The sequence below is a fragment of the Homo sapiens genome, chromosome 12 (genome assembly GCF_000001405.40).
Source record: "Homo sapiens chromosome 12, GRCh38.p14 Primary Assembly".
In the NCBI taxonomy this organism is placed as follows: domain Eukaryota; kingdom Metazoa; phylum Chordata; class Mammalia; order Primates; family Hominidae; genus Homo; species Homo sapiens.
The window spans coordinates 75731429-75755261 of NC_000012.12; the positions used below are offsets into that span (position 1 = coordinate 75731429).

Consider the following 23833-nt stretch of genomic DNA (forward strand, 5'->3'; position numbering starts at 1 on the left):
AAATTTTCGCAACCTACTCATCTGACAAAGGGCTAATATCCAGAATCTACAATGAACTCAAACAAATTTACAAGAAAAAAACAAACAACCCCATCAAAAAGTGGGCGAAGGACATGAACAGACATTTCTCAAAAGAAGACATTTATGCAGCCAAAAAACACATGAAAAAATGCTCATCATCACTGGCCATCAGAGAAATGCAAATCAAAACCACAGTGAGATACCATCTCACACCAGTTAGAATGGCAATCATTAAAAAGTCAGGAAACAACAGGTGCTGGAGAGGATGTGGAGATACAGGAACACTTTTACACTGTTGATGGGACTGTAAACTAGTTCAACCCTTGTGGAAGTCATTGTGGCGATTCCTCAGGGATCTAGAACTAGAAATACCATTTGACCCAGCCATCCCATTACTGGGCATATACCCAAAGGACGATAAATCATGCTGCTATAAAGACACATGCACACGTATGTTTATTGCGGCACTATTCACAATAGCAAAGACTTGGAACCAACCCAAATGTCCAACAACGATAGACTGGATTAAGAAAATGTGGCACATATACACCATGGAATACTATGCAGCCATAAAAAATGATGAATTCATGTCCTTTGTAGGGACATGGATGAAATTGGAAATCATCATTCTCAGTAAACTATCACAAGGACAAAAAACCAAACACCGCATGTTCTCCATCACAGGTGGGAATTGAACAATGAGAACACATGGACACAGGAAGGGGAACATCACACTCTGGAAACTGTTGTGGGGTGGGAGGAGGGGGGAGGGATAGCATTAGGAGATATGCCTAATGCTAAATGACGAGTTAATGGGTGCAGCACACCAGCACGGCACATGTATACATATGTAACTAACCTGCACATTGTGCACATGTACCCTAAAACTTAAAGTATAATAATAATAAACTAAAATAAAATAAAATAAAGAAATAGGCACTATTTCTATCCCTGTGTGAGTTATTGGTAGTTTTTCTTCTAATCTTTCTGTGTAGTTCTTTCCACAGGCAAGAGAAGTTTTCGCACACATATGTGCCCATCAACACACTCCTTAAAAATCGAAGGAGACGGCCGGGCGCAGTGGCTCACGCTTGTAATCCCAACACTTTGGGAGGCCGAGGTGGGTAGATCACGAGGTCAGGAATTCAAGGCCAGCCTGGCCAAGATGGTGAAACCCCGACTCTACTAAAAATACAAAAATTAGCCAGGTGTGGTGGCACATGCCTGTAATCCCAGTTACTTGGGAGGCTGAGGCAGAGAATTGCTTGAACCCAGGAGGCGGAGGTCGCAGTGAGCTGAGATAGCGCCACTGCACTCCAGCCTGGTGACAGAGTGAGATTCCATCTCAAAAAAAAAAAAAAAAAGGTAAAAATTGAAGGAGAGTCCAGGCACAGTGGCTCCCAGCACTTTGGGAGGCTGAGGCAGGCAGATCCCTTGAGGTCAGGGGTTCAAGACCAGCCTGGCCAACATGGTGAAACCCTGTCCCTACAAAAATACAAAAATTAGCTGGGCATGGTGATGGGCACATTTAATTCCAGCTACTCAGGAGGCTGAGGCAGGAGAATGGCTTGAACCCGGGAGGGAGAGTTGCAGTGAGCCGAGATCACACCACTGCACTCCAGTGTGGGCGACAGAACGGGAGAGACTCTGTCTCAAACAAACAAAAAAGTGAAAGGAGACCCTTAGCAGGTCTCTGGACTTCTCTCCTCTGCAGCTCTCTGTTCTCCAGAACCCTGCCCTGCAAACTCTAGCTGCTTTTGTCTTCCTAGACTTTCAGGTCCTCTCAACTCGCTGGGGCCACTGGCCCCACCTGCGACGTCTCTCCCTGGACAGCCACCTGGGAACTCATTCAAGCAATAACCTGAGGCAAATATAGAGCTCACCTTGTTTGCTCCCCATCTCCCAGGTATCACTTTTTCATCACCTGATCTCCAATGTCTTAACAACCTTTGTTCTATATATTTTGCCTGATTTTTTTTTTCATTGATTCAATTGGAAAGATAAACTTGGTCTCAGTTACTTCATCTTGGCCAGAAGCAGAAGTCAATTATTTCTTTTTGGCATAACCCCAATCTAAAGAGGATAAAAAAATAAAAAATAACTGTATCCTTATAGGAAAGTTTCTAAGGTAGGTTAAATCCACCCAGGCTGCCCAAACAGTACAAAGCTTCTGTTGGAAAGTAGGGGAAACGGAGTGGTCCTTTCTCAATGTTTAGGCCCATGAGTACAGAACTTTCTGGAACATGGTCACAGGCAAAAGGAAATAAGAGACAAGCTGCTTCTTAGGAGATGGATCACAACACAAGATTTTGAGCCCACTGGAGAAAAAAAGGAAGATATGGAAAATAATTCACACTTCACTATCATTCAAAGCTCCCCTCTTCCCTTCTCACTTTAGTTCCTGCCTCCATTGATACACTAAGCATTCTGAGCCTCTGCCATCTTTGCTAAGGTTCCTTTGTTCTAGTCTCTAGCAAATCTCATCTCCCTGTTCTCTTTTTCTTCCCCAAGCAAGAGCTCTCTCTCACATCATTTCGCTTAGTTAGAGGAGGGGACATTCATTATAAGTCAAAGGATATTGGTGTTAAGGGAGAGGATGAAGCTGTCTGGCACCTTTGTCAATTCAGAGGGCTACATTGTAACTGGTGAGGACTTTCTGATTATTTTTTCCCTTTTTTCTATCAAGTGGAAATGAATTACAATTTTAACCGAAAAACAGATGCCTCTGAATACCCAATTTAGATAAATATAAGATTGAAAAAAGATACTGCTTTTATTTCAGATTTTAAAAATGAGACTCCAAATAGTATCTGATCATTTTAGCACTGAGTTCAATGTTCACTCTTCTCTGACAGCACATCTTTTTTCACAGTTGCATAAGAATTATGGCAGAGAGTTAAAAGAAATACAGTAAAACTCACAAGAAACACTAGACATTTTTGAATAAATAGGAAAATGCCATAGATCAGGTCACATTCTCAAAGCATAGCGACATGCATTAAAAGGCCATTATAAAATGACTAACACAACAAACATTAGTTCTGACCCCAGTATCGGAACTATACACGTGTCACTTTTTGATCACAAAGCATCTAGTAACAAAAATACGAGGATTGTCTCTTCTTAGAGTGACCACGAATTTATTTCTAAATGAATCTATGGAACATAAAAATAAATAGCTAAAGATTAAGTCCAGGCCAGGCACGGTGGCACACGCATGTAATCCCAGCACTTTGGGAGGCTGAGGCAGGCAGATCACCTGAGGTCAGGAATTCAAGACCAGCCTGGCCAACATGGTGACACCCTGTCTCCACGAAAATTAGCTGGGCATGATGGTGGGTACCTGTAATCCCAGCTACTCGGGAGGCTGAGGCGGGAGAATCACTTGAACCTGGGAGGTAGAATTTGCAGTGAGGTGAGATCGTGCCACTGCACTCCAGTCTGGGCGACAGAGCAAGACTCAAAGAATAAAAACGTGAAGATTAAGTCCAAAGAAATACTTGATATCACGTAAAGTTTTTAAAACTTCACTTAAAACTGGTTTCATTCAAACTGATTTATATGTATATAGACAGAACCAATGTTGTAAAATACATACAAAGATAGACAGGTAGACAGATAGACAGATAGATAGTAGATGATAGATAAATAGAAGTCATCCACAGAATGTTATTTTCACATCGTTCTTTTCTTTGCATTCTGCAGTATACTGGGAAAGCAGGAAACAGTCAGGGCACAATCAGACTTTCAACAACAGTAACAAGAGACAGGATAATGTAGTAGTTTAGAGCACTGTTTCTCAAAGTGTAGTCTGAGGAACACCCATATCACAAGCATATAGGGCACATGTTAATAGCAGAAATACCTAGGGCCCTCTATGACAAATTAAATTCAAATTTCTGAGAGTGTGGCCTGGGATTCTGCATTTTAACATACTTTTCTAGTGCTTCTACTTCACATTAAAACTCGGAAACCCCAGATCACAAGCACAGACTCTGGAGCCATACTCCCTGGGTCCAAAACTCTACTAGATGGCTATTTTACTATGAGTTTGTCTCTCTGCATCAGTTTCTTCATCTGCAAACTGGAAATGATGATATTAATAGTATCTACCTACCTTACAGGATTGTAAAAATATTAAGTGAGTTAATGCATAAAGCCCTTAGAAATGTGTTGGGCACAGTTTAAGTGCTATGTATGTCAATGCAACCAGTGTAGTTAAGTCAACCATGTTCCAAATTACTACCTCCTATATAAGCACAAGAACTCAAAAGGAACAAAATTAACAAGAAGTTATAAGGAGTAAGAACACAAGTTATATCCACAGAATTCCCCTTAGCTAAGAGTTGGAAGGTTTTTGTCTGGTTTAGTTTTTGCTGGCAAAAAGACACCCTTTTGTGAAGCTGCACTTGCCCCCTAGAGAATATGGCAGCACCAAATAATTCTCCTTCATTTATGGTCAAGCAACATTGCTCTCCTTACTGCAAAGTTCTAGCTAGTTGTCTAGGAGTTGTCCTCTTCAACTAAAAGCCATGTGCCTCAGAACAAAAAATTATTCTTCATTAGGCTGTTGTTAAGACACCCTGGCTAGCACAGCGGTGCCCTGGCTGGCTACCTGCCCTCTGGACCTTATGTGACTCAGGTATTCTGACCTCATTCACACTGGCAGGAATTCACTTTGGCTCAGTTCTACAGTTTCTAGCAAAGACTAATTCTTGAGACAAATTAGTGGAGAAGATTCTGAATAAATAGCATTTAGAAACTGTTCTTATTCATAAGCCCTTGATTAAGAATGGATGGAGAGATAAATATAATAATCCTTTGAACAATGTCTCATTAGTAATTCCACAGGTTTGCTTCCACCATGGACCAGGATGTGATACATGGAGTAATGGGAAGTCTGGCAAGGCATGTTCCCAGTATCTTCTGAACCATCGTTTCAAATTATGAGCTTCCTCCAGCCTTCATTTGCTTTTCCATCCAGCCTCACCTCCCTGGTCCATGGCTGTTACCTCTTACTAGCTCCTTTGTCCCTCTCCTGTTCTCTAACCTAAATTCCATCCTGCATCAATATAAATATCCATTATGATAAAGCCCAATTTCCCTACCTTTACTCCAAAGCTTCATGCTCTCCACTCTCCTCTCTATATACAGTAAGTCCTCACTTAATATCATTGATATGTTCCTGGAAATTGCGACTTTAAGCAAAACGATGTAGAGTGAAAATTATTTTACCGTAGGCTAATTGATATAAACAATAGCTAAGTTTTGGTGGCATATTTCTGGTCACACAAAAACAAATTTCTAAATAAAGACCCCAAACACTTCTAATATTACACATTGAAATAAATGTGAGCTATATGGACATTTAAGAGAGATTAATAAAAACAAGTAAGATAATTATTTACCCATTATTCCAGTTCAAGGTGCAGATGGTCTGAGCCTATCCCTGCAGTTCAGGGAGCAAGTTGGGAACCAACCCTGGACAGGACGTCATTCCATTACAAAGCATACACACACATGCACAGAGACACACGTAAACACTCAGACTGGGACAATTTAGACACACCAGTTAATCTAACGTGCACATCTCTGGAATGTGGGAGGAAAGAGGCATACCCAGAGAAAACCCATGCAGACCTGAAGAGAATGTGCAAACTCCACCCAGACAGCGACTCCAGCAGAGAATTGATCATTTTTCCTAATCAATGTTATAATAAAGCCACGTTGAAAGAAGCAATGTTATTCGAGGACCCACTGTATTCCAAATACATTAAACACCTTGCTGGTCTCCAAACATGCCTCTGTCTCTCCCGCTACAGGTCTTCGCATATATCATCCCTTCTCCCTAGGGCAGTCTTCTCTCATACCCAACTCCATTCATTCACTTGGCTAATGCCTATTCACTCTTCAGAATTTAGCTAAGGCATCACCTCCTCCACTGTCTTACCTAATCCAGCCCCTCTCAATGTACACATTAATCAGCCTGTTTTCACAAGTCCTGTGTATTCCTTTGCCTCCCCCTTCTGAACTGTTAATCCTTAAACAACCAGCTTTCCACTAGAGACGGTATTACAATAGTCTAGGATCTGCTATGGATGACCCAGCTCAAGACAACCAAAGCTGCTTGTTCTCTTATGTCTTGTTCATCTTTGTACTCCTGTCTTCTAGCAGAGTTGTCACACTGACACACCACTCCATGTTTCTCAGTAATATGAAAGTGATAGGTTGTGACCATATGGCTAAGGGTTCCAAGTTCATGTGACTTGGTGGAAAGAATGCATACTTTGGAGTCAGACAGACCTGCGCTTAAATCACAGGTCTGCTGCTTACTGTCTATGATATGGATGACAACTTACATAAGCTAATTTGCATCTAGGTTGTAGATATGCAAGTGAAGACAATAATCTTTACCCTACAGAGACATTGTGAGAAGTTAGTATAATACATACCAAACACTTACCCAGTGCTGATAAAATGTAGCTTTTATTATTATTGTATTAATCATGAGAATCAGGATTTATTCCTATACAAATCAGATCAAAATCAATAGCAATTTGTAATCAATGTATTGCAAATACCTGAAAGACACTCTGAGATCTCTCTCAAATATCTAAGAATCGCTGCACACACCTAAAAGATACTTTTAGGATACTAGGTTCCTACAATAGGGTTGCAAATAAAATATATATGAAGGTCTTTCAATAACAGGATCAATTCCTAGACAGTTGGTCCAGCTTGCAGTCAGTGTCTTGTTGAAAGAAATTCCCAGATGTGCTGAAAGTAGTGTGATAGATGTAAAATGGTATTTTTAATTAAAACCCTTATTGAACATAGTGTGAAATGTTTCTACTTAATCCTCTGAAACCAACAGACAAAGCATTCACTGTTATCCCCATGTGATAACTGAGGCTTAGAGAGGTTAATCAGCTTTCCAAAGTTGCACACTGACCAAATGGGACATAGCCTTCAAGATTTTAGAAGATGTTTTTGATGGTAGAATTACTTTGTTATTTCTTTTATATGGTGAGATAACTAATGTTGATAATCTGTGAATAACTTAAGTCTCTCAGAAGTTTCTCAGCTACAAGTTCCTCTGCACCTACCCTGGTTAATTTTGTGATTTGAATAGTCAGAAGAGATGAGTCAGAGAGGACTTTTACTTCAAACTTTCCACGGGAGTGGGTGTTACTATGGTCTAGGACCTGCTGTGGATGACAGCTGAAGACAACCAAAGCTGCTGCTTTTCAGGCCTGCGGTTGTAGACTAAGAATAAACTACATGCCTGGCCTTGCAATTAAGAGGGCAGGCATCAAAGATGGCTGCAGATCTTCTTGACTCCATGGTGGCAGCAATAGACTATTTGTCAGTTTGGACTTATTTGCATTTTGTAGCTAACCTTGTTCTTTTGGCAAAAGCAATTGGTGCTCTCATGTCAACAGACATTAATCTGACTTCATGATTTTCTAGTAGGAAATCATGGCTTATTCTTAATCCACTAGTTCTATAATTCATTCATTTTTGCTAGCTTATTTTAAATGCATTTACTTATTTATTCCTTTATTAAGCACTTGCTATGTAGTGACATATTGAGAGCCATCACAATAAAGCGGTAAGAATGTGGAAGTTGGGTAAACACGGTTTTGCATCACACTTTTGTAATTTATTAGTTAATAACCCATGTTATTATATATAGGTAATAAGGGCATGAGTTTTAGATCAGGCTGACTGGGTTTTAAAATCTCAGCTCTACCACTTATGAAATCTGTGACCTATAACAAGTTTTCTTTTTTCTTTTCTTTGCTCTGTCATCCAGGCTGGAGTGCAGTGGCATGACTCAACTCACTGCAACCTCTGCCTCCCAGGCTCAAGCGATCCTCTCACCTCAGCCTCCTGAGTAGCAGGACTATAGGCACATGCCACCATGTCCGGCTAATTTTTGTATTTTTTGTTGAGATGGGGTTTCACCATGTTGCCCAGGCTGGTCTTGAATTCCTGGGCTCCCAAAGTGACAAATACCTTTGAGTTTAGCTTCTCTCCATAGTAAAATGGAAAGGATAATACTTACCTTATAGAATTCTTATGGAGAATTAAAATAAGATGTGAATATAAGGCACCTAGCACAGAACCTAACAGACAGTAAGTGCTCAAGATTTATTTCTTTTCCCTCTGACACTAGATCCCAGACACTGCAGAAATAAATATATCTGAGATTTACAACTGCCATAAAAGAGATAATAAACAGGAAGGAACTTAACATATTAAGCCCCTACCTTGTTTCAATCCATGTCTTAGGCATTTGCATGTGATGGTAGCCTTGAATTTAAACTGAACTCATCTTAATTTAGTCATTCATTCATTCCATTTGTTCACTCATCAATAAATATTTATTCAGCACCTACTATGTGCCAGTCATTTGCCTAGGCAGTGGTGACACAGCAATGAATAAGTGGACCAGGTCCTACCTTGAGCTTACATTCTAGAGATCCATAACCTTCCTGCCATACCTTGCTGCACAGATAAAGAACTTTGAAAATTAAAAACAAAAAAAAATATTATTTTCAACTTGGAAATCAGAGAATGCTTCATGGAGAAGCAGAAGTTTGGCCTGAACTTCAGAGAACTTTAGGGCTCAGAGTAGGCTGGGAGAGTGGGTGGATGGAGCAGCTTGCATCATGGCCCAGAGGCCGGGAAGAGCAGGACCTGAGAGGAAGCAGTGAGTTTGATTTTGTTGTCAGGTGGGGTGGGTAAAAGTGAGTAATAGGAAATCTTTTGGAAATGTATATGGAAATCAGATGGTGGTGCACACTGAAAAGCAGGCTGAGGAGTGCAGACTTATGTAGACCACAGAGAGTCATTTAAGTTTATTGAACAAGGTAGTAATAGGATCAGGGATAAGCTTCAGAAATATTAATTGGGCAATAATGTGTAAAATGGATTAAAAGAGGGAAGGACTAGAGACAAAGGAAGAATCAGGAGGTTGTTAATTAAACACTGCTGGTATGTTTGGGGTTTTTCTATGGCCAGTGACAGAAAAGATCACCAGCAAATTCAGGTAAATTTTTCTTTCATCAGAATTTGCAAAGGTAAAAGTGGGCTAAAAACAAAAACAAAAAACAGGAAACAAAACCTGCTTCATCTAAGAATGCATTATATAATATTACATAAATGACAAATTCCTTTGATATATGACAGATATTTAGTGTCTTCAGCAGAACAACTAAATTAAACATAGGAGTGGAGAAAACCTGAGACAACAGGCCTTATGGTATAATATTTAAATTAAGTTGATTCTCAGGCCAGAGCTTTAAAACATTTGCAAGCAAATTCTGATTCCTTGATGGTTTTTTTTTTGGTTTTTTGTTTTTTGTTTTTTGTTTTTTGAGATGGAGTCTTGCTCTTATCGCCCAGGCTGGAGTGCAATGGTGCAATCTTGGCTCAATGCAACCTCTGCCTCCTGGGTTCAAGCAATTCTCCTGTCTCAGCCTCCCGAATAGCTGGGATTACAGGCATATGTCACCATGCCCGACTACTTTTGTATTTTTAGTAGAGATGGGGTTTCTCCATGTTTGTCAGACTGGTCTTGAACTCCTGACCTCAGGTGATCTGCCCGGCTCAGCTTCCCAAAGTGCTGGGATTATAGGCGTGAGCCACCACGCGCAGCCCGATGGTTTTTTGTAACAAAATTTCTATTGTAAAATAAGAATAAAGTTAAACATTTATATAAGAACCCTTGCAAGGTGGCAAATGCCCTCAGTATACTTTTGGTATAGCTTATGCTCTTCCTGGTTGGTATAGGTTGAGAATCTCTAGTCCAGAAATCCAAAATCTAAATGATTCCAAAACTTGAAACTTTTTGAGCACTGATATCACCCTGCAAGTGGGAAATCCCACACCTGACCTCATGTGATGGAATGAAGACAAAATGCAGTCAAAACTGATTCACGAGCACAAAATTACTAAAAACATTAAATAAAATTACCTTCAGGCTATGTGTATAAGGTGAATGTGAAACAGAAATGAATTTTGTGTTTAGATTTGGGTCCCATCTCGAAGATATCTCATTGTATATATTCAAATATTCCAAAATCTATCCCCCCTCCCCGCCCACCAAAACAAATCATGAAATCCTAAACACTTCTGCTCCCAAGCATTTCAGATAAGGGACACCCAACGCGTAGTGCTGTTGTTCTGGGTCAAATTCTCAGTTGATGGAAAACAACCCATTCCCAGACCAGCAGCTTCGGGCAGCATTCTGCCTTCAAAACATTACCTGCCTTTACTACTTTCTCTTGGTTTCTGAAGAATCAAACTCAAACTACCCCAAATTGAGGTAATTCTCTTCTCTCTCCCATCCCCTTCCAACCCAACTTGCTCTTCCCCTTGCCTTTTCATTTAAACAACATTGATTAAGCACCTACTCTGTACCCACTTCCGTATGGATCATCGGGGTCTTGCTAAGTGCACCATTGGCCAACAGAATCTTGTAGTCAACCTCAATTTCTCCTCCCTCTGTCTCTCACATCCACTCAGCAACCAAGACCTGCTGAGTCCACCTCCCAGAAGTCTTTCATACTCATCTGTCCCTCTCCAACCTCACTGACCCTGACCTAGGATAGGCCCTAATTAGTGCAATCCTGAACAATTACAAAGCCTTCTAACTCCTCTTTACCACTCATCCCCATCCCCATCCGGTCCCTCTACAATCCAAGCTGTCTTGCACGGATGGATGCCAATGTGCAATCTTTGAAAACCTTGCTATTCAAGGTGTGGTCCGCAAACCACAGCACCAGTATGGTCCTGCAGCTGGTTAAAAATGCAGACTCTCACAACAGAATCTGCATTTTTAACAGAACCCAGATGATCCATATGCACATTTAAATTTGAGATGCACTGGCTAAAAGCACAAATCCAATCCCATCACTCTCTAGTTGACATTCTAGTGCAAAGACCAACAAATTATAGCACGCAGTCCTAATCTGGCCCACTATCTATTTTTGAGCAGTCTGTGAAGTAAAAAAAAATGCTTGGAAATAAATCAAAAGAAAAATACTATTTTATGACACATGAAATTTATTGAAATTCAAATTTCAGTGCTTAGTTTGATTGGAACACAACTATGCCCATTCATTTATATGAGAGGAGTCTTTTAAAAGTTTATGGAAAATGCGTATTATGAAAAAAACTATGCATGGAGTTCAAATTTTTTTGCACCAAAATAAACTCATGCCAACTGGTTACAACATATCTGAAAAGGATCTAGTTTGAGGCATAAACAAGGATACGATGTTGGTTTGAAAAGAGCCTCTATAAGAACAATATGAATTCTGCTAAAATTGAAGCAAAAACAAACATCAGATTTATGGTGAAGCTTGGGTGGAAGAATGATGAAATCACTGATGCTTTATGAAAAGTTTACAGGACAATGCCCCAAAGAAATCAGCAGTTTACAAATGGATCACTCATCCTAAGAAGGGATGAGATGATGTTGAAGATGAAGCCAGCAGCAGCAGATCATCTACATCAATTTGTGAGGAAAAAATTTATCTTTTTTCCTGCCTTAATTGAAGAGAACTGATGATTAACAGTAGAAACAACAGCCAATATCACAGACATCTCCATTGGTTCTGTTTACACAATTCTGACTGAAAAATTAAAGTTGAACAAACTTTCCACTCAATGGCTGCCAAAATGATTGCACCCAGATCAGCTGTAGACAAAAGCAGGGGTTTCAATGGAAATTTTAAGCATGCAGTATCAAGATCCTGAAGCATTTCCTCTAAGAATTGTAACAGGAGATGAAACAAGGCTCTACCAGTACAATCTTGAAGACAAAGCACACTCAAAGCAATGGCCACCAAGAGGTGGAGGGGGGCCAGTCAAAGCAAAAGTGAATCGGCCAAGAACAAAGGTCATGGCAACAATTTTGGGGGGATGCTCAAGGCATTTTTCTTGTTGACTTTCTGAAGTGTGAAAGAACAATAATATTTTCTTATTTTTATTTTTTTTGAGATGGAGTTTCACTCTTGTTGCCCAGGCTGGAGTGCAATGGGGCAATCTCAGCTCACCAGAACTTCCACCTCCCAGGTTCAAGCAATTTTCCTGTCTCAGCCTCCCAAGTAGCTGGGATTACAGGCACGTGCCACCATGCCCAGCTAATTTTGTATTTTTAGTAGAGACGGGTTTTCTCCATGTTGGTCAGGCTGGTCTCAAACTCCTGACCTCAGGTGATTCGCCCCCCTCGGCCTCCCAAAGTGCTGATATTACAGGTGTGAGCCACCGCACCCGCCCATAATATCTTCTTATTATGAGAGTATTTTGAGAAAGTTAGCCAAACCTTTGGCAAAAAAACACTCAGGAGAGCTTCACTAGAATCCTTTTCTACCACGACTATGCACCTGTTTATTCCTCTCATCAAACAAGGGCCATTTGCAAGAGTTTCAGTAAGAAATCATTAGGCTTCCATCTTACAGTCATGATTCAGTTCCTTCTGAATTCTTTTTGCCTCCTAATCATAAAAAAATCTTTAAAGGCACCCATTTTCCTTCAGTTAATAATATAAAAAACATTACTTTGACATGGTGAATTCCCAGGACTCCCAGTTTTTTAGAGATGAACTTAATGGCTGGTACCATCACTTACAAAAATGTCTTGAACTTGAAGCTCATGCTGAGAAGAAAACTTATATTTTTAATTTTTATTTTTTCATTCAATTTTTCATGCACTTTTTGAAATCCCCTCATTTATTGTCAGTGGTTGCTTTTGCATACAGTGGCAGAGTTGAGTAGTTATGACCGAGACTGTATGATCAGTAAATTCTAAAATGTTTACTATCTTGCCCTTTAGAGAAAAAGTTTTTTGGCCCTTGTTCTAGGGAGAACACATATGTAATTTTTTTAAAAACAGAGCTGGACATCCCAATTACTCTGGTTTGATAACTACACATTGTAAATAGGTATCAAAATATGACATATGTCCCAAAAATATGTACAACTATTAAAAGTCAATTAAAAAAATAAACACAAGTTATGAGCTATGAAGACAAGAAATAAAGACTTGAATAAAGTGTTTCCTCTCTTTTGTACCCACAGCAGGTGCTGATACCCTTCTATGATCCCACATGTTACATTATTGGTACAGTCTTCGCCGAGTGAGGAAAAGAATCAAATACATTCCTCCCATTTCATGGCAGCTGATTTTTCCCCTTGGAAGGACAGAGGGGTAGGTTCTAAACATGATGAGAGGAGCAAGATCATCTGGGTGTTCAGAGATGAGAAGGAAATCAGGGAGGATTTGAGGGTCAGTAATTTTATGGGCACTTTCCACTCAGGTCCTTATTCCTACAGCTGAAAAAAGAGGGGGAAAAGGCATCTTCTGGCTCTGCAGAGCTAAATAAATACTCCCACCATTGGGCAATAATTCTTCCGTTGAAAGGAATGTCTGAAGATTCCAAAATTCAATGCTTTAAATATCAACAGCCACTCACCTGCAGACCTTTACACATTCCCTGATTTTATGGCTATGTAAGACATTAAAGATATCATTTCAGACCTTGTTTTCCAATGCAGATCCTTTTGGAATAACCCTGTCAGAACTGTTTCCAGTGGTTTGCTCTTTGCTTAATTGATACATTCCTTCAGAGTCACTAAAGCAGGTGTGAAAAATAGTTCAAATTCCAATTCCATGCCAGAATGAGAAAGAAGTGAAAGCCCATAGATCAAAAAGCTTCCAGAGACATTGTAACAGAGGCACTGAACATGTAAAGTCCAGAAAGTAGTTGCCTTTCCACCCTTCTTCCCTTATCCCTAGCTTCACATTTTCTGGAACAGTTAACTACATGATTTTGCATTCACTTAATAAAAAAAAGGTGTTACCAGCTGACAGTTGAGGTTGTTCAATGTGCCAAGTACTACGGTAGATCCCTGGGTTACAATAGTAAATAAGATATTGTTCCTGTCCTGGAGAAGATAGCAGCTATATGGGAAAGGCAGATGCAGAGGCAGACACTTACAAACCAGTGTTTTCAGGGCTACGGTTCAGAGTGAGTATGAACACAGAGAAACACGCAGCTCAAGCTCATGAGATTAGAAAGGTTTCCCAGAGGGGATGTCTGAGCTGAGTTCTGAAGGACATGTAGAAGTCAGCCAGATACAAGGCTGGAGGTTAAGAGTAGAACAGGTATTCAAGGCACAGAAATATCAAAGATGAGGGATCATGGCTCATGTGAGCTGCAGGACAGTAGAAGATAAGAAAAGGGTTGAAAAAGTGGAGAGGAGAAAGGCTGGTGGGTTCAGGAAGAGGATGACCTGTGTGCCATACCCCCAGAGCTTAGACTCCATACTGAGGACAAAGGGGGCTTATTGTAGGGTTGTTGGTGAGGCAGCATGATCAGAGTTGTATTTCAGAAAGCAAATTCTAGCTGCGGTGTGGAGAAAGCACTGAAGAAAAGCAAGATTGGAGGTAAGGAGAATTAAGAGAATGCTGCAGGGGAGAAATGGTGCTGACTCAAACCATGGTGAAGATAAGGGTGGCAGAAAATAATAAGGCAAAGCCCACCATATACAGCCATACAGAAAGCCATGCCCTGCACCAAGCAGTTTCCCAAGGGGCAGATGGTTGTTGAAGATCAGACTGTGATCTCCTGGCCAAGCACTGTGGCCCAGCAGGAGGAAGAAGGAAACCCTTTTTTTATTCATCAGCTAGACAAGGTACCATTTCGTTATTCTCACAAAGTCACCATATATATGCGCAGCATTAAAGGCCCTGCCAAAGATGAGTACACTCTAGAGAATTTTGAGGAAGAAAACAGTTGATCAGATACAGCAGTTAGAGAAAGAGCATTCAAAGAGGATACCAAACTGTTTGGCCCTATTACCTTGACATTTACTAAGGCAGGAAATGCTTTCTCGGGCTAAATCAGTTCCGTTTTACCTGTTCAATCCAATTCCTTTTTTGCTATCATGAATTTCTTAAACAAATTCAAATAACTTTATTCAAACAAAAAAGAAATACATTTGATTCATATTTAATAATGTTCACTTTTTATTTAATTAAAATTTTTCTTTGGAGGTAATAGTAGATTCACATACAATTGTGAGAAATAATGCAGAGAGATCCTACATTCCTTTTACTCAGTTTTCCCAAACTTGTAAACTATGGTACAACACCACAACCAGGATACTGACATTGATAGTATCAAAATACAAAACATTTTCATCACCACAAGGATCCCTCATGTCGCCCTTTTAAGAATGTGAATGCAGAAAATCTGAGACAGGTCTCAGTTAATTTAGAAAGTTTATTTTGCCAAGGTTGAGAACACACCCGAGACACAGCCTCAGGAAGTCCTGACGACAAGTGCCCAAGGTGGCCAGGGCACAGCTTGGTTTTATACATTCCAGGGAGACATGAGACATCAGTCAATACATGTAAGAAGTACACTGGTTCACTCTGGAAAGGTGGGACAACTCAAAGCAAAGGCAGAAATACTGGAAGTCGGGAGGCAGCTTCCAGGTCACAGATTGGTGATACACAACCAGTTACTTTCTTTTGAGTTTCTGATTAGCCTTTCCAAGAGAGGCAATCACACATGCATCTATCTCAGCAGAGGGGTGACTTTGAATTGAATGGGAGGGAGGTTTGCCCTAAGCAGTTTCCAGCTTGAGTTTTCCTTAGTCATTTTGGGGGCCCAAGACATTTTCCTTTCACAACCTCTAATTTCTTACCCATTTCTATAATTTTGTCACTACAAGAATATTATATAAATGGAATAATGGAGTATGTACCATTTGGGATGGATTTTTTAAAAAAAACTCAGCATAAACTGGGTGCGGTAGCTCACGCCTGTAATCCCAGCACTTTGGGAGGCCGAGGCTGGTGGATCACCTGAGGTCAGGAGTTCAAGACCAGCCTCAACATGGAGAAACCCCATCTCTACTAAAAGTACAAAATTAGCCGGGCGTGGTGGTGCATGCCTGTAATCCCAGCTTCTCGGGAGGCTGAGGCAGGAGAATTGCTTGAACCTGGGAGGCGGAGGCTGCAGTGAGCCGAGATTGCGCCATTGCACTCCAGCCTGGGCAACAAGAGCGAAACTCCGTCTCAAAAAAAAAAAAAAAAAAAAAACCTCAGCATAATCCTTTGGTGATTCATCCAGATTGTTGCATGTATCAGTAACTCATTTCTTTTTATTTATAAGTAGTATTCCATGGTACTGATATACCACAGTTTGACCATTCATCTGTTGAAGAATATCTGAGTCATTTTTAGTTACGGGCTATTATATATAAAGCTGATTTAAACATTTGTGTACAGGTTTTGTGTGTGAGCATAAGCTCCCATTTTTCTGGGACAAATTCCCTGGAGTACAATTACTGAGCCATATGGTAATTACATGTTTAGTTTTAAAGGAACTGCAAACTGTTTTCCAGAATCTCTGTAGCATCAGCAATGTAACAATGATCCAGTTTCTCTACATCCTTGCCAGCACTGGGTGATGTCACTGAAACTGCCTTTGCAAAATTATAACTGAGGAAATTATGACAGTGAAAGAAATCAGACCTAACTGACTCTATCTTACTTATAAACCTTCAGCTGTCCTTGCTCATTGCTGGGTGCAGGCCAAACTAACTTTGGGAAAGAACTCAGTTCATGTTTTGACTCTAAAACAAAATTGATAACAGCCGTTTCCGAAAAGACCCCCTTCTTGCCTGATGTCCAGTCTTTGCAGGACTAACAAATTAGCTACAAGATTAGAAATGACAATTTAGGGGTCATGCAGCCTCTGGCTCCAAGAGTCTAAACCTCCCCAAATTGCTTCTGGGAATAACATCACTATTGTAAAGCTTAAGATCAGTGCTTGAGATATTTTGCAGACCCTGCACTTGACGGATCAGCTGACACCATCCAGACTGGTAATCTGGCCCAACCCGTTCTGCCATCCTACCCAGGAACAGAAGACGTTAAGAAAAACTCACTTCAACCCCCTTTGATTCCATTTCCAACCTGACCAATCAGCACTCCCCACTTTCCAAGCCCCTACCCGCCAAATTATCTTTTAAAACTCTGATCTCCGAGATCTAATTAAACTAAAGAGCTTCTGCACAGCAAAAGAAACTACCATCAGAGTGAACAGGAAACCTACAGAATGGGAGAAAATTTTTACAATCTACCCATCTGACAAAGGGCTAATATCCAGAATCTACAAAGAACTTAAACAAATTCACAAGAAAAAATCAAACAACCCCATCAAAAAGTGGCTGAAGTATATGAACAGACACTTCTCAAAAGAAGACATTTATGCAGCCAACAGACACATGAAAAAATGCTCATCATCACTGGCCATCAGAGAAGTGCAAATCAAAACCACAATGAGATACCATCTCACACCAGTTAGAATGGTGATCACTAAAAAGTCAGGAAACAACAGGTGCTGGAGAGGATGTGGAGAAATAGGAACACTTTTACACTGTTGGTGGGACTGTAAACTAGTTCAACCATTGTGGAAGACACTGTGGCGATTCCTCAAGGATCTAGAACTAGAAATACCATTTGACCCAGCCATCCCATTACTGGGTATATACCCAAAGGATTATACATCATGCTGCTATAAAGACACATGCACACGTATGTTATTGTGGCACTATTCACAATAACAAAGACTTAGAATCAACCCAAATGTCCATCAATGATAGACTGGATTAAGAAAATGTGGCACATATACACCATGGAATACTATGCAGCCATAAAAAAGGATGAGTTCATGTCCTTTGCAGGGACATGGATAAAGCTGGAAACCATCATTCTGAGCAAACTATCGCAAGGACAGAAAACCAAACACCACATGTTCTCACTCATAGGTGGGAACTGAACAATGAGAACACGTGGACACAGGGTGGGGAACATCACACACCAGGGCCTGTCATGGGGTTGGGGGAAGGTGGAGTGTTAGCATTAGGAGATATACCTAATGTAAATGATGAGTTACTGGGTGCAGCACACCAACATGGCACATGTATACATGTGTAACAAACCTGCACGTTGTGCACATGTACCCTAGAACTTAAAGTATAATAAAAAATAAAATAAAATAAAAATAAAACTCTGATCCCCAAATGCTTGGGGAGACTGATTTGAGTAACAATAAAACTCTGGTCTCCGGCACAGCTGGCTCTGCGTGAATTACTCTTTCTCCATTGCAATTCCCCTGTCTTGATAAATTGGCTCTGTCTAGGCAGAGGGAAAAGTGAACCCATTGGACGGTTACATCATTAATTTTTTTTTTTTTTTTTTTAGCCATTGATAGATGTACTGTATGGTTTTAATTTAATTTAAATTTTAAATTCACTATGGTTTTAATTTGCATGTTCCTAACGGCTGACGATGTAGAACATCTTTTCATGTGCTTATTTGCCTTCTGTATATCTTTTCAGTGAAATGTTTCATGTCTATTATCTATTTCCTAATTGGATTGTTTACTTTGTTTACTGTTACATTGTGAGAATTTTAAGATTTCATTTTTATTCTTTGTCTGTCCTGGTTTTATTTATGATACGTCTGAGACAACATGGTATAGGTTGAAGAAAGTAAGTTTTATCGTGGGACAAACTATGAATCCCAGCTCTTCTCAGCTTCAGAACATTCACCCGTAAATTGGAGATGATAATGCTGTATTGTAGGGTGGCGATAAAAGGCAGTGTATATACAAACCACCTAACCTAGTATCTAATATATACAATGTAGATACTCAATACATGTAGCTACTATTTTATTATTTATTGATCAGATCAAACATTCTGTAGCTTATTTCTTTTTCCACTACCATTCTCTCAAGTCTTATGGTCCTGTCTTCCTTCCTTTTATACTGCCAACATTACAATAGTCAATACCTTCTAAAAGTACTTGCCGAGTTGCATACAGATCCTTCTACCTAAAGAACATCTCAAATGTGCATGTTCAGCTAATAACACTCCATTAATAATTATAAAAACATATCTAAAATACAACTCCTTAAAAACAATATTAGGGTACTGGGTTTACTACCTGGGTGATGTAATAATATGTACAACAAACTCCCATGACACATGTTTATCTATGTAACAACAAACCTTCACATGTACCCCCAAACCTAAAATAAAAATTAAAACAAATAATAAATTTTAAATTATGAGTATTGACAATACATGTGCTTATTTGGGAGTATTTCCCGAAATTTATCAGAAAACAAAGGAAGATAAAGGAAGAAGAATCCAGATCTTGTTAAACCATGTAGCTTACATGGTTTTTCATAAGCTGTAATTTTATCTTACATAGTTTCATTTAGAGGGCATTAAATGTACACTGCGTGGCTGGGCCTGTGTTGGATAATTTACGGACATTTTAAACAAAAAGAAAGCATGACTCCTCCTTCTGGGAAGTAGGACTTCATTTTCTATTTCCAGTTGGAAACTTTGAAAAGTTGAATTTTATTTCAATAGGACAGCATTTACTGAGATATTTAGGTAGGAAGCAAGATCTTAGCCAAGAACTGCTAGTTAATCTTCAGCAGCTTATACATAAAAAGATATTACTGGAAACACTTTCAGATTTGTTTATCCTCAAATAATGTGATCTATTTTCATTTTGGGAAAAAAAAATAAAGAATTCCACAGAAAGAAATGCTTGCATGACTTTCTGAGTCACACTGTGTAGATTTTTTCCAGTAAGCTACATTATGCTGGATGCTGTTCAAAAGGGAAAATGTCAAACACACTGGGGTTCAGTCTGGCCAGTGGGTGGGTTTACTCAAGCACAGAAATCAAATATAGGCGTTCAAGCCAATACCTCAGAAACGACAGAATGAATTACCAATCAGAGCTGGAATTTTAGAAGTTATTTTTCAGCTGAATCCCACAAATACAATATAAATGAACAATCCTTGTGAGCATTACAATGGCATTTATCGTTTTTTTTCTTAGAATCCTAAAGTTGAAAAAAACTAGACATTATAAAATTTAACCTTTCTTTTATACCATATCTCTGACACATCTCTGATAGATTTTCCTACTTCTGCTTGAAAACTTCTGAAAACGGAGAGCTCACTACTTTGCAGCACAGTCCCTTCCTTTGTCAGATCAATGAAAGGCAAGGAAAAGAACCTGGAATGATATAAGCCAAGATAATAACAGTGGTTACCTAAGGGTGGGCAAAAAGATGCATTTCTTGTTGTTGTTCTTTTGCTTGTATTTTCTAGCTTTTCTATAATGGGTTTCTGTTTTTATAATAAGTAAAAGATAAGTACTCTTCAAAACCATGAAGAATTCCAATATTAACACTGGTGTTGTCCCAACTTTTCACTCGAAAAATTAAGTCAGAGTAAGATTCAATGGCTAAAAATTAGATACAAAAATTACCAATGTTCCAAAAATCTATGACTGGGAAATATCTATTTCAACTGCATCAATATGTCAACCAAGGTTATGTTGATCAAATTGTTTCCAGCTAAATTGCTCTGGTCAAATAGTAAGATAGTTAATAATTCTTAGACTATGTACCCTCTGCTTCTATCAAAACATTCTAAGGATGCCAAACATTTTAGAAACAGTATCATTCCATGAACTCTAATCAAGTTATTATTGATCTACACCACCAAATTTACTGTGTTCTATAATTATCTAAATGGTGGTTTTATTATTATTATTATTATGGAACTTAACATTTAACCCTTGTTAAATTGATTATATCACCTTTGTTCTTTCCTTCTTACAAGGTGCTAAGTGGATCGCTTAAGAGGTTATGGGGGAAAAATTTGTTCCCAGATGAGAAAGATCATGTTCTGCAGAATTACTCATGCATCTTCATGACTGTTCCTGCTTCCCCGCCTCCCAGGTCCTTGGCCTTCCCTCCTTGCTCCCAGCATATTATTAGCCAGCTCCTAGTACATAATATGCTTTCAAACAAATCATATGTATTGAGCATCTACTGTGTATCTAACACTTCCACATAGGAAGCGTTATTCCTCAACAGCCCTCCTTATTTCTCAACAGCCCAGTTGATAGGTATCTACAGGTGCAGAAACAAGGGGTAATTGATTAAGTAATTTCTTGAAGTTCCACAGTTATTCATTGACGAGAGTATGATATGAACCTATATCTGAATGGTTTTATTGCTAATGCTGCCTCTGGGTATTTTTTGGCCTTGGCTTCTTGCCTTTAACCTTGCCCTGCAAAATCTCAGGTAGACTCTGTCACCTCCTCTCTGATTTCCAACACTAACCTAAACATCCTAGGTTTTTTCCTGTGCATTATCCATAACCATATTGGATGAGGTGCTTCCTGACTATTTAGAATTTGGGTATCCAACGTACAAGCGTTATTTTCAAGATCTATAAGAGTTTATATTTGCTCACCTAGATTTTCTTCTAAGGCATTGATAAGATTTGTGAAATACCAAAAAGAGAACCTTTCCAGAGTGCTATCATTTTACATTTTAGAATGTAAAAATGTTGAAGATGAAATAGATGAAATGGTAAACATAATTTGAGTATATATTAGACAACCTACAATTCACCTTCTTGTCCATGAACATATTTTAACAAATTGTCAAATACCTTGGTGACATCAAAGCCTACAACATATCCCTGATCTATCGTTTTAGAAAAATTATGAAACAGTAAATCCAATACATACTGGACTATACTGGTTCATGTACTTGAACAGTTCAAAGATAGGACTGGGTTGATGCAGATGCTAAAGTAATGTCACCCAGACCTAGTCTCTCTTCTTGGTTCAGTGCTCCTCCATTTTGACCTCCATCTTAGGGTTTACATAATACATGATATATGCTGGCAGCTCCCAGCCTACACCCTCCCAGGCCCACTACATACAAATCACTTTCATTGTTTGAGGAGTTACAAGAGGCATACAACTAAGTAAGACAGCCTTTCACCACAAAAGGCAGTATAGTCTAATAGAGAAAGCATGTGCTTTGGTGGAAAATAGATCTGGATTTGAATCTAAGACTTGTCCTTGAGCAACTTATTCAAACTTGGTGTCTTAAATTATAAAATGGAGATTCTATGTAGTTCATAGAGTTGATGTGAAATCCTAAAATTTGAATGAAATAATGTAAATTAAGTGCCTAGCATAATGCCAGGAACATTGCAGCTGCACAACCTATCAGCAAAAGTAAGTATACCAATATAATAATGCTAGTAGTGATATATGTTCTGTAATATTGATGTAAATTAATATACTAGGGTTTCAGAAGGTTCATATCTGATTGGGGTGATGGGGCTAGAAAATATTTCATGGAAGAAATGGTATTTAATGTGGGTCTTGGAAGGATGAATGAGGGCCAGGCCCGGTGGCTCATGCCTGCAATACCAGCATTTTGGGAGGCCGAGGAGGGCAGATCATGAGGTCAGGAGGTCAAGGCCAGCCTGACCAACGTGGTGAAACCCCGTCTCTACTAAAGATACAAAAATTATCCAGGTGTGGTGGTGAGCACTTGTAATCCCAGCTACTCAGAAGGCTGAGGCGGGAGAATCACTTGAACCCAGGAGGTGGAGTGCGGTGAGCTGAGATCACGCCACTGCACTCCAGCCCGGGCAACAGAGTGAGACTCTGTGTCAAAAAAAAAAAAAAAATAGCCATGAAGCTTTCATGTCTAAAGAAAAGGAGATTATTTTCTTAATTTTAATATTTCTTAGATTTAAAATGTGAAAATGTTGAAGATGAAATAGATGAAATGGTAAACTAATGAATCTCGTAATAAATCTCACACAGATTTATGAAATGTTTTCTCAGTGAATAAAAAGACAAATGAACTGTGATCAAATGATTCAAGGACAGTCATGAGATGTAGAGAACATGTTATTTTCTTTCTTAGACATACCATCATCCATAGCTCAGGCAGGATGTTCATCTCACACTTCAGCCCTTTGAGGTGTAAGCCAAGCTACAGATGCAGTGACAATAGAAATGCTATAAAATCAGGGATGCCACAGTCCAATTTGGTGCAGTAAGAACACAAAGGAACAAAGTATCAGAAAAGATGAAGCACATGTTCTCAGTATGTTTAGTTGCAAAGATAAAGTTCACAAGGAAGAAAAAAAGTTTTAAGTCTAAAAACCTTTTTTTTCTGAGTGTGTTTTGCTTTTGGGACCAAGTTGCAGGTTAATTTGGGTGGCTAAATAAATCAATAAGTTATTATTCTGATGTGGATATAGTACTTTGCCTTTAAAGAAAAGTTTCTCTCTTACATATTATCTTGTTTTATCTAGTTAAGGAGAGGAAAGGATGGAAGACAGAGGGGAGAAAAAAAGGTCAGACATATAATCAAAGCATCCTAATAAAAATTGGTTGGTATGGAGCTAAAGGGAAGCTATGGATTCCAATCAATTTGTACCTCAATGAAATGTGTGTGCTTTAAACACTGTGGTTTAAACCTTGTGGTTTGCAGACACACTGAATTTCACAGATGTGTAATCAAGGAAGTCACCATCACACAAAGTTCTTGTGAAGTAGCTTTCTGAAGTAATTCACTCAAATTCTCCTGATGGTGAATGTGGGGAACATCAACCCATTTGTTTGGGAGAGAGGGAGTTCCCTGACTCTTACTTCCAGGAAGGAGGCCATCTTTATGCACAATCTGTTGGCCCCACTTAATTTCTTCAGTTTATTTCCCCTGGCTCAGAATCCTGAAAAAAGTCTAAACGTGAAAATGCTGCACCTGAGAGGGTTTATATCTCTCAGTGCGGTAGAGGCAATGTCAAAACTATAAACTACCTGATACCTGAAATAGGCTGATAGCTTTTAAAAGTCACAATCCAAACAGA

General features: G+C 39.3%; 1 long non-coding RNA gene across 4 annotated transcripts in view, besides 1 other annotated feature; it reads right to left on the reverse strand.

The window, feature by feature from the left end:
- Positions 1-23833, reverse strand: part of LOC105369844 (uncharacterized) — a 310508-nt gene that overhangs the window by 207168 nt on the left and 79507 nt on the right. The window lies entirely within an intron of this gene.
- Positions 15260-15761: an enhancer, noted in NCBI's record as "NANOG hESC enhancer chr12:76140468-76140969 (GRCh37/hg19 assembly coordinates)". NCBI's record gives its function as "activates a minimal SCP1, AML or CMV promoter by ChIP-STARR-seq in naive and primed H9 embryonic stem cells {active_cell/tissue: H9 hESC(naive and primed)}" and the evidence as "EXISTENCE:reporter gene assay evidence [ECO:0000049][PMID:30033119]".